The sequence below is a fragment of the Homo sapiens genome, chromosome 7 (genome assembly GCF_000001405.40).
Source record: "Homo sapiens chromosome 7, GRCh38.p14 Primary Assembly".
Classification (NCBI taxonomy): domain Eukaryota; kingdom Metazoa; phylum Chordata; class Mammalia; order Primates; family Hominidae; genus Homo; species Homo sapiens.
The window spans coordinates 735,628-751,435 of NC_000007.14; the positions used below are offsets into that span (position 1 = coordinate 735,628).

General features: G+C 51.1%; 1 protein-coding gene across 3 annotated transcripts in view; it reads left to right on the forward strand.

The window, feature by feature from the left end:
• Positions 1 to 15,808, forward strand: part of DNAAF5 (dynein axonemal assembly factor 5) — a 59,777-nt gene that overhangs the window by 8,929 nt on the left and 35,040 nt on the right. For all 3 annotated transcript variants that reach the window (NR_075098.2, NM_017802.4, XM_024446813.2), the window contains exons 3-4: positions 5,192 to 5,316; positions 5,720 to 5,838. Coding sequence is in view for 2 of the 3 variants with exons in the window: in NM_017802.4 (NP_060272.3) it covers positions 5,192 to 5,316; positions 5,720 to 5,838 (244 nt within the window). In the remaining variant the exon portion in view is untranslated. The remainder of the gene's footprint in view (positions 1 to 5,191; positions 5,317 to 5,719; positions 5,839 to 15,808) is intronic.

Consider the following 15,808-nt stretch of genomic DNA (forward strand, 5'->3'; position numbering starts at 1 on the left):
ATCAGTTGTTTGTAATGTCCTCTTCGATCTCTGATTTTATTTACTTGGGTCTTCTCTTTTTCTTAGTCTGGTTAAAGGTGTGTTGATTTTGCTTGTCCAAAAATCTAACTGTTCATTTTGTTGGTCTTTTGTATTTTTTTTAATTTCAATTTCATTTATTTCTGCTCTTATTTCTTGTCTTCTACTAATTTTGGGTTTGGTTTGCTCTTGCTTTCCTAGTTCTTTACGATGCAGTGTTAGGTTGCTGTTTGAAGTTATCTGCTCTTTGAATGTAGGTGCTAATTGCTATACACTTGCCTCTTAGTGCTGCTTTTGCTGTTTTTGCATATTGTGTTTCCATTTTCATTTAAGAATTTTTAAAATTTCCTTCTTAATTTCTTCATTGACCCACCGGTCATTCAGGAGCATATTATTTAATTTCCATGTATTTGTGTAGTTTCCAAAGTTCTTGTTATTAATTTCTAGTTTCATGTTTTAAGGCTTGTTTCGTGGCCTAACATATGGTCTGTCCTTGAAAATGATCTGTGTGCTGAGGAGAAGAATGTGTATTCTGTAGCTGTTGGATGCAATGTTCTATAAATACCTATGAGGTCCATTAGATCTATAGTACAGATTAAGTCTGATGTTTCTTTGTTGATTTTCTCTCTGGATGATTTGTCCAGTACTGGAAGTGGGGCATTGAAGCCTCTAGCTGTTACTGTGTTGGAGTCTGTCTCTCTCTTTAGCTCTAGTAATATTTGGTTTATATATCTGGATACTCCAGTGTTGGGTGCATATATATTTAAAGTTGTTATATCCTCTTGCTGAGTTGACCCCTTTATCATTATATGATGACCTTTGTCTCTTAGTATAGTTTTCGTCTTGAAATCTGTTTTGTCTTAAGTGTAGCTATTCCTGCTCTTTCTTGCTTTCCATTTGTATGGAATATCTTTTTTCGCATCCCTTTATTTTCAGCCTACGTGTGCCTTTTTAGTGACGTGTATTTCTTGTAGGCAACAGATTGCTGGGTCCTGTTTTTCTTTACCCATTCAGCCGCTCTGTCTTTTGAATGGAGAGTTTAGTCTGGTTACGTTCAATGTTGTTATTGATAAGTAAGGACTTACTCCTGCCGTTTTGTTGTTTTCTGGTTGTTTCGTGGTCTGCTCTTCCTTCCTTCTTGCCTTCTTGTTTTCCTTTTTATGAAGATGATTTTCTCTGGCGGTATGTTTTAATTTCTTTTTTGTGTGTGTGTGTATCTGTTGTGGCGTTTTTTATTTGAAGTTACCATGAGGCTTGCAAATAACATAACCCATTATTTTAAACTGATAGCTGAACACTGATTCCAAAAACAAGCAAGCCAAGAAAAAAATGAATAAAAACTCTACACCTTAATTTTATGCCCTCAGCTTTTTAACTTTTTGTTGTTTTTACTTATATCTTTGTCTTGAAAAGTCATTGTAGTTATTTTTATTTTTATTTATTTATTTATTTTTATTGTTTTATTTTTGAGATGGAGTCTCACTCTGTCACCCAGGCTGGAGTGCAATGGCGCCATCTCAGCTCACTGCAACCTCCGCCTCCCAGGTTCAAGCGATTCTCCTGCCTCAGCCTCCCGAGTAGCTGGGACTACAGGCACCCACCACCACACCCAGCTAATTTTTGTATTTTTAGTAGAGACAAGGTTTCATCATGTTGGCCAGGCTTGTCTTGAACTCCTGAGCTCAGGTGATCTGCCCACCTCAGCCTCCCAAAGTGCTGGGATTACAGGTGTGAGCCACTGCACCCAACCAGTTAGTTATTTTTCATAGGCTCATCTTTTAGTCTTTCTAGTCAAGATGTGAGTAGTTTACACATCACAGTTACAGTGTTACAACATTGTGTTGTTCTGTGTGCTTACTGTTACCACTGAGTTTTATCCTTTTAGATGATTTCTTATTGCTCCTCAGCATCCTTATTTTTCAGATTGAAGAACCCTCTTTAACATTTCCTGTAGGACAGGTCTGATGTTGATGAAATTCCTCAGCTTTTGTTTGTCTGGGAAAGTCTGTCTCCTTCATGTTTGAAGGATTTTTCACTGGATACACTAGGGTAAAAGTTTACTTTCCTTCAGCACTTTAAATATGCCAAGCCACTGTCTCCTGCCCAGTGAGGTCTCCTCTGAGAAGTCGTTGCCAGGCGTACTGGAGCTGCGTTGTACGTGATTTGTTGTTTTTTCTCTTGCTGCTTTTAGAACCCTTTCTTCATCTTTGATCTTTGGGAGTTTGATTGTTAAATGTCTTGAGGTAGTTTTATTGGGTTAAATCTGGTTGGTGTTCTGTAGCCTTCTTGTACTTCAGTGCTGGTATCTTTTTCTAGGTTTGGAAAATTCTTTGATATTATCCCTTTGAGTAAACTTTCTACCCCGATTTCTCTCTACCTGCTCTTGAAGGCCAGGAACTCTTAGATTTGCCCCTTTGAGGCTATTTTCCAGATGCTGTACATGTGCTTCATTCTTTCTATTCTTTTTTCTTTTGTCTTCTCTGTGTATTTTCAAATAGCCCGTCTTCAAGCTGCTCACTAATTCTTTCTTCCACATAGTCAGTTCTGCTGTTGAGAGGCTCCAATGCATTCTTCAGTATGCTAATTCCTTTTTTCTACGCCAGAATTTCTGCTTGATGCTTTTTAATTATTTCAATATCTGTTAATTTCTCTGATAGGATTCTGAATTCTTTCTCCATGTTATCTTGGATTTTGCTGGGCTTCCTCAAATAGCTATTTTGAGTTTTCTGTCTGAAAGGTCACCTATCCCTGTCACCCCAGGATTGGTCACCGGTGCCTTATTTAGTTCACTTGGTGAGGTCATGTTTTCCTGGATGCTCCTGATGCTTGTGGCTGTTGGTCGATCTTGCTAGGTATTTACTGTCATCTTTGCAGTCTGGGCTTGTTTGTACCCATCTGTCTTGGGAAGGCTTCTAATCCATTTATTTTGCTTTTTAGAAAAAAAAATTGAAAAACGTCCTGCTTTTTTAAACTCTTATATGGCAGTTCGGTGTTCAGTGCTGTTTTTGAACTAAAAGAAAAGGGATAATTCGTCTCATGCTAATTGGAATTTGCAGGTTTCTTATGATACTAAGTAGAGACTGATAGAAAAGGTGGCAGTCCGTGAGACTCAGGAGCAGCCCCAAATCCCGGCCCTAGCTGTCCTTGCTATCAGGTGAGATGTTTGAAGCTCCTTTCTGCAAAAGAAGCCTATCTGTGGGTTCCGACAGACAGGTGGCCGTCCTGGGTGGGGCCCCGCAGAGACCCTGGCACACAGTGCAGGAGGTCAGGGAGGAGAAAGCAGCGAGGCCAAACCCAGCGAGTTCAGACTGCTCCCTGGCTGCCGGCCTGGGGCAGAGTGTGCTCAGGCCTTGTGGCCCTGGACGCCTGCCCATCTCCCGGAGAGGGCCCCATCACTGTACACCTGTTTGGGCTGGGGGCTGGCTGCAGTCTGGCTTGTCTCAGCCACGCCCTCTGCCCCATCACTGTATACCTGTTTGGGCTGGGGGCTGGCTGCAGTCTGGCTTGTCTCAGCCACGCCCTCTGCCCCATCACTGTATACCTGTTTGGGCTGGGGGCTGGCTGCAGTCTGGCTTGTCTCAGCCACGCCCTCTGCCTGACAGGCTTTGCAGCATCTCAGCACATGGCACTGGGTGAGCTTGGAGTTTGCCGCTCACCTGGATTAGCGTCGTGGCAGGTGCGGCCGTGGCAGGTGTCGACTGCATTAAACCCTGGGCTGTCTCTGCTCGAGACCTGCCGGCGCCATGGGTGAAGACGACAGTGACAGTTTGTTCTGTGGGGACTCTCTAGCCAGGTGGTGGAATGGCCGTGGAGCTGATTTGGGTTTCTCTTAGTTGTTATCTGGGCATTTGTATTTGTGGTTGCTAGTAAGGCCCTGTGTCAGTTAATGACCCCGGCAAACGCGCCACACATTCCTGTGTCCCCTCGCGTGCTTCCCTGCTGCTCGCACGCCGAGAGTCGCCTGTGCGCACCGCACGGGCAGCGGGAGTCAGGCGCAACGGGCCTCTCCTTGTGTGAACTTGCCCTCCCCTCACGGGACCTTAGTGACGAGCCCTGTCAGTCATTCTTTCCCATCTTCCAGGTGGCAATGAACTTCGGAGCAGTCAGGCCAGGGCCCGGGTCCCAGGCCGGCAGGGGCGGATCCTAGGTGCGTCTGCTTGGCTCTGGGCCTTGTTGGAGCCGGGGCGGAGCAGCCCCTCCTCCGAGTCCCAGCGAGTGACCACGCCATGGGCACAGCTGCTGCTCGGGTCCCCTGCACCTACGACTGGCTGTGAGCGCTATTGCTAATGGTGCATGGCTGGGCAGAGACGCTTCATCCAAAGTGTCAGGAGGGATGAGGCTCCTGCTCCCCACGGCCCAGCCAGGGACTGATGGCACCACGGAGTCGGCCCCTGGCCTCACAGGGGACAGCTCTGTAGCTCGTTCACACCCCAGAGCTCCCAGGATCAGTCTGCGGCTGGCTTCAGCCCCACCGCTTCCTCACCTGGCTTCTTCCTGGCCGTTCCCGCTTCCCTTAAGGAGTGTTGGTGCTGGTCCCCGTCTCAGGCATTGCCCTTTGGGAGCTTGGCTAGAGCACCTGGTGTGTGTGAAGCTGGTTTCTTCCGCCTGCATAGGCAAGGTAGGCAGAGGCCCTCGTGCCCCCTCTTCAGACACCCAGCAGCAGAACTGGGGACCCTACTGGTTTCCTCCAGAGTCCCTGGGCTCTGGGACCAGACGCCTTTGAGGTATGGCCACGGTGCACCACACTTGCTGTAGCCACGGCTCACCAAGCACCCAGGGTGAGACAGGCCCAGCCCGGCCAGGAGGTTTTCATGCAGAAGACTTTGAACACGCTGCACGGCTCAGGTAGCAGCTGGGAGCCTGCTCTCGCCAACAGGACCAGGCCGGGGCACGGGGTATGTGTGTGTGAGCCTGCAGGACAGCAGCATTCCTCTCCGGCCCAGCCAGGAGGGACTGGCGGAGCTGGCCGGGACCCAGGCTTGGTGGCGCCCAGGACCCCGGCCACGCGCCTCTGTCTTGGGGATGGCATCTAGGCGGTGGTAGGTGGCCCAGGACCTGGCCGTGCCTCTGCCTCAGGCAGCGTCCGTATGGCAGCACTCAGAGCCGCACCGTGGCGTCAGCCCCGGCATCCCCTTTGCCTACACGAATCCTTATCCCTTCCTCTCATGCGCAGGTCCGGCGGGCGGTGGCCTCCGTGGTGGGCGGCTGGCTGCTGTGTCTGCGTGACCGTTACTCCTTCTTCCACAAGCTCATCCCTCTGCTGCTCAGTAGCCTCAACGACGAGGTGCCTGAGGTCAGGTACGTGGGCAGGCGGCCGCGGGCCTTGTCTTCCTAAACGGTCATGTGTAGCAGTGGTGGTTTCTCTTTGCTCCCAGTCTCTCACAGAAACCTGCTGGTGTCCCTTTGTCCCTGTGCTCCGAAGGGATGTGCCGTACAGAAGTCGTCTCGTTTTGTAAATGGCATTTCCCATCTTTTTAACATTGGACTGAGTATATCGACAGAGATCAGACGGCCCCCTTTGTGTACTGTCAGTAGAGTGCTCACAAGATGAAGTGGAATTTCTGGTCCACCTTTTCTGGGGTTGGGGAGCTTCCCGCTCTCACGCAATGGGGTCTTTGGGTGACCCGTGTCCTGGCGCAGCCCTGCGGCCTCCCCTGCGTGCCCTGCCCTGAGCCACTGTTGTCTGTCTGTTGTGCCTCAGGCAGCTGGCTGCCAGCCTCTGGGAGGACGTTGGCCTGCAGTGGCAGAAGGAGAATGAGGAGGACCTGAAGGACAAGCTGGACTTTGCCCCTCCCACCCCACCCCATTACCCTCCACATGGTGAGTGACCGCGGCAGAGGGGAGCGCCAGGAGGCGAGCCCTTGTTGGGTGGGAAAGGGGCTTCTGAGCCTGAAGGAAGCTTCAGCTCTTGCAGTTCTGAGCCCAGGCGGCCGCGTCGGAAAGGTGCAGGCGTCTCCCCACTGGGCTGGGGCTCCTGCATCCTGGGCAGAGCACGTCTCTCCTCAGCATCTGGAGAGCCCCCATGTGCCTTGCAGTGACCTCTCCCCTCCTCTGGCCAGCTTTATTTTAAAAAGGCTGTGGGCTTCTGAAAGTGTCCAGCGCACTGCCAGATGGTGTCCGCCCCCCTCCGTTGGCTGTGCACACAAGGGTGCATTGAACTCTGGGTTCCTGGGCAGCTCTGCTGGTGGTTGGGGGGTGTTGGAAACAGTGGGATGAGGGGCTTATCATTTCACCAAGACAGAGCTCAGCACGAGGGCCACGGGTGAGGTGAGGTCTTCTTCATGGTTCCACATGATTTCCAACCTGGGAACAGGGTCTCCTGCTGCGTGGCCTCCCCGCCCTTCCCACATTTGCTCCCTGGCCATGTTGCGGGCACCCATGTGCATCTCTCCGCAGAGCCCAGCAGGTCTGGCTGAGTCTGAGTGGAGGCTCCCAGGTCCAGCCCCAACACATTTGCTCTGCCACGCCGCCGGCCCACCTTGGGCTTCATCTGTTTAGAAACCGCCCTCCTCTCGCGGGGCTGAGTGTCTTCCACTTGCACGCGGTCAAGTGCTTTCATCACTTGAGTCTATCTGCGGGGCATCTTCTTAAAAGTAAATAATAGATACGCACTGACGAGGACAAAAAGTAGGTGAAGCGCAGCCCACATCAGATGCCCAGCCCAAATCAGATGCCCAGCTCAAATCAGACGCCCAGCTCAAATCACATGCCCAGCTCAAATCAGACGCCCAGCTCAAATCAATCAGATGCCCAGCCCAAATCAAGACGCCCAGCTCAAATCACATGCCCAGCTCAAATCAATCATGCCCAGCTCAAATCACATGCCCAGCTCAAATCAATCATGCCCAGCTCAAATCAATCATGCCCAGCTCAAATCAGATGCCCAGCTCCAATCAATCAGATGCCCAGCCCAAATCAGACGCCCAGCTCAAATCAATCAGATGCCCAGCCCAAATCAGACGCCCAGCTCAAATCACATGCCCAGCTCAAATCAATCATGCCCAGCTCAAATCACATGCCCAGCTCAAATCAATCATGCCCAGCTCAAATCAATCATGCCCAGCTCAAATCAGATGCCCAGCTCAAATCAATCAGATGCCCAGCCCAAATCAGACGCCCAGCTCAAATCACATGCCCAGCTCAAATCAATCATGCCCAGCTCAAATCACATGCCCCGCTCAAATCAATCATGCCCAGCTCAAATCAATCATGCCCAGCTCAAATCAGATGCCCAGCTCAAATCAATCATGTCCAGCTCAAATCAATCATTCCCAGCTCAAATCAGATGCACAGCCCAAATCAGATGCCCTGAGAGATTTGCAGTCTCAACTTACTTCCCATGTCACCTCCCTGGCCTAGTTGAGGCGCTGAAGTAGCCCGGGGTCAGGTCCTGGAGGGAAATGTATTCCGTCAAATACAGCATTAAAGTAGCTTCTTGGCCGGGCACAGTAGCTCACGCCTGTATCCCAACTACGCGGGGGGCCAGGGTGGGAGGATCACCTGAGCCCAGGAGTTGGAGACCAACCTGGGCAACACAGCAAGACTCCTACTTTACAAATATTTTAACAAAAACAAAACAAATTAGCTGGGCGTGGTGGTGCATGCCTGTATCCCAGCTGCTCCAGAGGCTGAGGTGGGAGGATCGCTTGGGTCCAGGAAGTTGAGGCTGCGGTGAGCTATGACCACACCCCTGCACTCCAGCCTGGGTGACAGAGTGAGACCCCGTTTAAAACAAACAAACAAACAAAAAACAGTTTCTCATGTCTGGTATTGATGTTTGGTGCCCTGTTAAATCCACGCCTACAGAGCCGTGGCTCCTCCCGAGCCTGTGAATCACAGGGTTGCTTTTCCTCCCGGTCGGCATTCTCCACCTTGCAGCCCCACCCCACGCTGCACAGTTGCTGTACAGGGAAAGCACACATGTTTGGAAAAGGCACAGAAATTAGTTGCAAGCAAGGTTTGTTCTGATGGAGTGAAGCCAGTGAGAACGCTCGATCTTTTTTTTTTTTTTTTTTTGAGACAGAGTTTCACTCTTGTTGCCCAGGCTGGAGTGCAATGACTCAGTCTCGGCTCACTGCAACCTCCAACTTCCAGGTTCAAGCGATTCTCCTGCGTCAGCCTCCCAAGTAGCTGGGATTACAGGCACTCACCACCACGCCCAGCTAATTTTGTATTTTTAGTTTATATTTATTTATTTATTTTTGTTTCAATAGGTTTTTGGTGAACAGGTGGTATTTGGTTACATAAATAAGTTCTTTTTTTATTTTTTTATTATTTATTATTTATTTTTATTTTATTTTATTATTATTATACTTTAAGTTTTAGGGTACATGTGCACAATGTGCAGGTTAGTTACATATGTATACATGTGCCATGCTGGTGTGCTGCACCCATTAACTCGTCATTTAGCATTAGGTATATCTCCTAATGCTATCCCTCCCCCCTCACCTCACCCCACAACAGTTCTCAGAGTGTGATGTTCCCCTTCCTGTGTCCATGTGTTCTCATTGTTCAATTCCCACCTATGAGTGAGAATATGCGGCGTTTGGTTTTTTGTTCTTGCGATAGTTTACTGAGAATGATGATTTTGAATTTCATCCATGTCCCTACAAAGGACATGAACTCATCATTTTTTATGGCTGCATAGTATTCCATGGTGTATATGTACCACGTTTTCTTAATCCAGTCTATCATTGTTGGACATTTGGGTTGGTTCCAAGTCTTTGCTATTGTGAATAGAGCTGCAATAAACATACATGTGCCTGTGTCTTTATAGCAGCATGATTTATAGTCCTTTGGGTATATACCCAGTAATGGGATGGCTGGGTCAAATGGTATGTGGGCGAAGGACATGAACAGACACTTCTCAAAAGAAGACATTTATGCAGCCAAAAAACACATGAAAAAATGCTCATGATCACTGGCCATCAGAGAAATGCAAATCAAAACCACAGTGAGATACCATCTCACACCAGTTAGAATGGCAATCATTAAAAAGTCAGGAAACAACAAGTGCTGGAGAGGATGTGGAGAAATAGGAACACTTTTACACTGTTGGTGGGACTGTAAACTAGTTCAACCATTGTGGAAGTCAGTGTGGCGATTCCTCAGGGATCTAGAACTAATTTTGTATTTTTAATAGAGACAGGGTTTCGCCATGTTGGTCAGGGTGGTCTCGAACTCCAGACCTCAGGTGATCCGCCTGCCTCAGCCTCCCAAAGTGCTGGTATTACAGAGGTGAGCCACCACGCCTGGACCACTCAATCTGTTTTAAAATGTGGAACTTAGACACGAGGCCACTTACGAACTCACTGTTGAACTCACACTCTTGTCTCTGCATCAGTGATGGGAGTGGAATCCCACGCGTGCTGTGGTGCTCTGTCAGTGCCTCTCCCTCCAGCCGCCTGTGGTGGGCTTCTGCGTTGGTCGGACCTTTAAGCTAAGCTGTGGGTTGTTTGCTCCTGGTGATTTCAGCTGGGCTCTCCTCACCAATGAGGAAATGCTGCTCCTTAGAGAGGGTCCAGCCTGTCTGCCTAATTCATGCTACACGGAGCCCAAGCTGCATGGCAAATCGTTCTCCACGTGCTCACTGAGAAACCAGTGGAAGACCCTTCAGGTGTCAGTGGGGCAGGAATGGCAGTCCCCAAGACCCAGGAGGGTCCAGTCCTTCCCGCTGTGCACCGGAGAGGGAGGCGGGGGGTCGGGGGGACTGTTTCTGGAAGGTACGATCTATGATCCTTGGAATGCGGTAAGGGAGAAGACAGAGCGAGGCGCACACGCATACACACACACACACATATTCACATGCATGCACATGTACACACACACCTGTGCACACATGTACATGCATATCGCACACACGTGCACATATGCACACGTGTGTACATGCATATCGTCACACGCGTACACACATCCTCGCACATGTGCACACCCATATACACATCTGCACACGTATACACATACACACCTGTGCACACACGTGTACATGTATATCCTCACACACGTACACACTTATCCTCACACACGTGTACACACATATACACATCTGCACACGTGTGTACATGCATATCACACGTACGTGTGTGTGCACATACATGTACACATGTACATACACATCCTGCCCTACCCCGCCAACTGTCTGGCCCTGCTAGTAGGTTCCCGGAAGGGGCTTCCTCCCTGTGGTGGAAACACAGGCTCTTTGGAGGCTGCCTGATTTAGAATTGGTTCAAGGACTTGGGAATGTTCCTGACTGATAATTACAAAAACACAGTTAGTTATCCGTGCCGAGGCGTAGAGAGTGTCGTTAGGCACAGAACTTTTGTTTCAAGTGGAGCAGAGTAAATTTAGAATTGAATGACAGTCAGTCAGTCGCATAAGCACTACGTTGTGTTAGATTTTTGGCATTTTCTCCTCAAATTACTTTTCTCCAGTCTGTAGATTTGAATTTTAAATACGATTTCTCAGATTTTTTTCTACAGTATTTTAAATGTCAGATCAGAAGATTTTTTGAGTCTCTTCCTCAGAAGTTTGCACTGGCCCTGTATTGCCAAGCACACACCCTCCCTGCCGTCCTGCCACCCCCCGCCTGCCGTGCCCAGGGTCTGTGACGCTCTCCTTACTGTCTTGCCCCCCCCTGCCCGCTGGGCCCAGGCTCTGTGTCCTCACTTTCCCCCGCCCGTCATGCCCAGGGCCTGTGACGCCCTCCTTACCGTCCTGCTGCCCCCCACCCAACATGCCCAGGGCCTGTGACGCCCTCCTTACCGTCCTGCTGCCCCCCACCCAACATGCCCAGGGCCTGTGACGCCCTCCTTACCGTCCTGCTGCCCCCCACCCAACATGCCCAGGGTTTGTGACGCCCTCCTTACCGTCCTGCCCTGTCCAGCGTCTGTGTCATCCCTTTCCCCCGCCCGCCGTGCCCAGGCTCTGTGTCGTCCCTTTTCCCCGCCCGTCGTGCCTAGGGACTGTGACGCCCTCCTTACGGTCCTGCCACCCCCCACCCACCTTGCCCAGGGTCTGTGACGTCCTTACCATCCTGCCACCCCCTGCCCACCCTGCCCAGGGTCTGTGATAGCCCTTCCCCCGGGACCACGCTGCATTCACCCTTCAGGGCTGCAGCTCTGTGAGTTTTGAGCAGCACCGCCTCTGTCCCCTGCATGTGGGCATCTCCACCGCCCAGAACTGCTCATGGGCCCTGGCACTGCTGCTGTGGGCTGCGTCCTGTGTGTCCCTTCCAGGATGTCACTTGCATGAGGTTGTGGGAGCGTGGCCGCTGGCGTCTGCTCTTTCCTCTCTGTGTCGGAGGCTCATGCATGGCACCTGTGTCTGCAGCACTTTCCTTCTTCGCGTGAGTCACGTTCCCTCCCGTGGATGGACCATCTGGTCACCAGCAGGGGCATATTCGGGTCCTTTCTAGTTTTTGGCCATCACAGGTAAAGCTGATGTAAACACTTGCAGACTGGTTTTTGTGAGAGTGTTTTATTGGATAAACACTCAGGCGTGGGGTTGCTGGGCCATAGGTACAGTCCTTACTTTGTTAGAAACTCACCACACACTGTTTTCCACACCCTTCGCGCCATGTCGCATCCCCACGGGCACTGGATGAGATTTCCAGGTGCTGCAGTCAGGCCAGCGTGTGGGGTGGAGTTTGCTGTTTTTAGTGTGTCGGTTGGTGTGCAGTGTTGGCACACGGTGTTGGTGTCCAGTGTTGACACACGGTATTGGGGTTTGCTGTTTTTAGTGTGTCCAGCTGGTGTGCAATGGTGGCACAGGGTGTTGGTGGGGTTTGCTATTTTCAGCGTGTCCGGCTGGTGTGCAGTGGTGGCCCACGGTGTTGGTGGGGTTTGCTGTTTTTACCGTGTCTGGCTGGTGTGCAGTGTTGTCACACAGGGTTGGTGGGGTTTGCTGTTTTTAGTGTATCCAGCTGGTGTGCAGTGTTGTCACACAGGGTTGGTGGGGTTTGCTGTTTTTAGTGTGTCCAGTTGGTGTGCAGTGGTGGCCCACAGTGTTGGTGGGGTTTGCTGGTTTCAGTGTGTCCGGCTGGTGTGCAGTGGTGGCCCACGGTGTTGGTGGGGTTTGCTGGTTTCAGCATGTCCGGCTGGTGTGCAGTGGTGGCCCACGGTGTTGGTGGGGTTTGCTGGTTTCAGCGTGTCCGGCTGGTGTGCAGTGTTGTCACACAGGGTTGGTGGGGTTTGCTGGTTTCAGTGTGTCCAGTTGGTGTGCAGTGGTGGCCCACGGTGTTGGTGGGGTTTGCTGGTTTGAGCGTGTCCGGCTGGTGTGCAGTGGTGGCCCACGGTGTTGGTGGGGTTTGCTGGTTTCAGCGTGTCCGGCTGGTGTGCAGTGTTGTCACACAGGGTTGGTGGGGTTTGCTGGTTTCAGTGTGTCCAGTTGGTGTGCAGTGGTGGCCCACGGTGTTGGTGGGGTTTGCTGGTTTGAGCGTGTCCGGCTGGTGTGCAGTGGTGGCCCACGGTGTTGGTGGGGTTTGCTGGTTTCAGCGTGTCCGGCTGGTGTGCAGTGTTGTCACACAGGGTTGGTGGGGTTTGCTGGTTTCAGTGTGTCCAGTTGGTGTGCAGTGGTGGCCCACGGTGTTGGTGGGGTTTGCTGGTTTGAGCGTGTCCGGCTGGTGTGCAGTGGTGGCCCACGGTGTTGGTGGGGTTTGCTGGTTTCAGCGTGTCCGGCTAGTGTGCAGTGGTGGCCCATGGTGTTTTACTTTGCGATTCCCTAATGAGAGGACATTGGGGCCTTTTCCTGTGCTGTGGTGTGCTTCTGTGCACCCGTACGTCGTCTTTGGTGGCCATTCAGAACTGCCATCCATTAAATCGAGTTCTGTGTTTCTGAGTGCGGAGTTTGAGGACCCCTTCCGTGCTCTGGATGCAGGTCCCTCATCAGACTGTTTTAGGCTCCACAGCCAGGCCTCAGCTCCAGCTCCCGCTCCTCTCCTCAGAGCTCCGGCAGCTGCCGCCCCCATCCCCCCTGCTCTGTTTCCTCCTGCCCCCTACCACAGTGGAGGTGCTCCTTCTCCTCGGTGGACTCGGGCCCTGTGCTCACCTCACCGCTCGCTCCAGGGGCCAGTCTGTCTGCTGCCATCCTCTGCACCCAGAGGCGGTGAGCCAGGCTTAGTGGCTCTGTGAGCACCCAGCGAGCTGATGAGTGGCTGCGTGTCCTGTCTTACCAGCAAGAACGGACAGTCCAACCGTGTGGTTGGGTTGCCGAGTGCGTGAACAGGCAAAGTTCGGTAATATTTTCAGACCACTGCTAATGCAGACGGTGCTCAGAGGTAATGACCTATCAATAAGGAATTCACATGGGCCTGGATCTGAAGTTTCATCAGAGTCCAGTTTTCCTGTTTCCTAAGAAAATAAGGTACACACCATGTGGAAATATAATTCGTACCATATAATTTGTTGTTAGCTTTGCAGACACAGCGTAAGTTTCCATTAACAGCACTGAAACCTCCGCCTTAAAAACCAAGCTTCGTGCTGGGAGGGTTGGGAGGGCACCACTTACCGTCCTCAAGTCGGTCATTTCCCTGAACAGAGTGCCCTTCTCACACGGAAGCACACGTTCACGCCTGGTGTGTATCTGACAATCACACTGCCAGCCGCCAGCAGCAGATGGCTTGGTGACAGCGGCTCCAGAGTCCTTTCTGCTTTGAGATTATCCCTCTGTTAAGATTGTTTTCCTTGGCAATGCCTGAGCGTAAAGGAAAGCGTCTCGATGCTGGTGAGTGGCCGGCCAGAGCTTTTCACACAGGAGGACAGAGTTGGCTCTTCTTAAAGCCTGACTTAGAAGTGAGCAGGGTTCCCTGTGGATGAACGCTGCCACGTGACAGCCTTCCCCCTTCATTCTCCTGTTCTGCCTTGGAGCTCGCACCCATTCTGCTTTGCTTGTGTGTTTCATCCATGTGTTTGGAAAGATGGAAGCTTGAATGGAAATTGTCAGAAACGTTACGTTGTGCAAATGGGCTGGAAAAGCTGGTTAACATTGTTTGAAGCCAGCAAGGTCCCACGAGCATTGGCCCACTCTGAGTTAGCCGGGGGTGTTACAGAAGAAGGAACTTCTTTTTCTTTTTTTGAGGCAGACTTGCTCTGTCACCCAGGCTGGAGTGCAGTGGTGCGATCCCAGCTCACTGCAACCTCCGCCTCCCAGATTCAGGCAACTACTGTCCTGCCTCAGCCTCCCGAGTAGCTGTGATTACAGACGCGCACCACCGCACCTGGATAATTTTTGTGTTTTTAGTAGAGACAGGGTTTCACCATATCAGTCAGGCTGGTCTCCAACTCCTGGCCTCAGGTGATCCACCCGCCTTGGCCTCCCAAAGTGCTAGGATTACAGGTGTGAGCCACGGTGCCCAGCCTATGTCTGCTATAATATTAAGTATAGAAAAACAGGCTTCAGAACCATGTTCAGAAGCATGTGCTGAGTAACAGCGTTTGAGTCCATAAGGACCACGTGGAGGAGGGTGGTCCCCTCTGATAGTAACATTGTGTTTCTCCTTTTTCTGTGTTTGGAAACACTCACTCACTGTCTGTGCTACAGTTTCTGCGTGTTGAGTGCAGTCACCTGCTGCACAGGTTCGTGGCCTAGGAGCCTCACAGGCTATATCGCACAGCCCAGGCATCGCACAGCCAGGCACGTAGGAGGCTGCGCCATCTAGGCTTGTGTACGTCACTGTAGTACGTTCACACGGCAACGAAATCACCCAATGACGTGTTTCCCAGAACGCACCCCCCACCGTTCAGCAACGCTTGACTGTACCAGCGGTCCCCTGCCATTTTGGCACCAGGGACTGGTTTTGTGGAAGACAATTTTTCCATGGGTGGGGCAGGGAGCAGGGTGGTTTCAGGTTGAAATTGTTCTACCTCAGATCATGAGGCATTCAATTCTCATAAGGAGCACGTAACCCAGGTCCCTCACACGCACAGTTCACAGGAGGGTTTGCCCTCCCCTGAGAATCTCATGCCGCCACTGATCTGACAGGAGGTGGAGCTCAGGCGGTCACACTCCTTCACCATCTGCTCACCTCCTGCTGTGGGGCCCAGTTCCTAACAGGCCTTAAACCAGTCCCAGCCTGTGTCCAGGCCTTGCGTACCCCTGCCCAGCACCGGCCAGTATTTCTTTGGAAACACCCAGAAGCCCAGGTGCCCACAAAGCTCTGTTCAGCTGTCAGCAGACCCCTCCCCGGCTGTTCCTGGTCACGCATCTCTCATTTTGCAAACTTTCCAGAGCGGATCGTCATCAGGAAGAAAGGTGCAGCTGGGCGTGGTGGCGCATGCCTGTAATACTGAGGTCAAGAGTTCAAGACCAGGCTGGCCAACATGGTGAAACCCCATCTCTACTAAAAATACAAAACTTAGCCAGGTGTGGTGGCATGCACCTGTAGTACCAGCTACTCAGGAGGCTGAGACATGAGAATGGAGAATTGCCTGAACTCAGGAGGTGAAGGTTGCAGTGAGCTGAGATCGCACCATTGCACTCCAGCCTGGATGACAGAGCGAGACTGCATTTCAAAAAAAAACGAAGAGAGGTGTGTTTGCACCCTGGCTTTTTTGTTTTTTACAAAATGATGACAGGATCATTTAAACAGCCAGCAGAATTTTAATTATTTGGAACTAATTCCATAATACAGGATAAAAACAGAAAAATAACCAGAAAAAGGTTAAAAATGGGGTGTCCTGGTACAAGCTGTTCTTATTAAAACATACCCTTTAGCCTGGATGCAGTGGCTCACACCTGTAATCTTAGCACTTTGAGAGGCCGAGGCAGGAGGGTTACTTAAGCCCAGAAGGTCAGT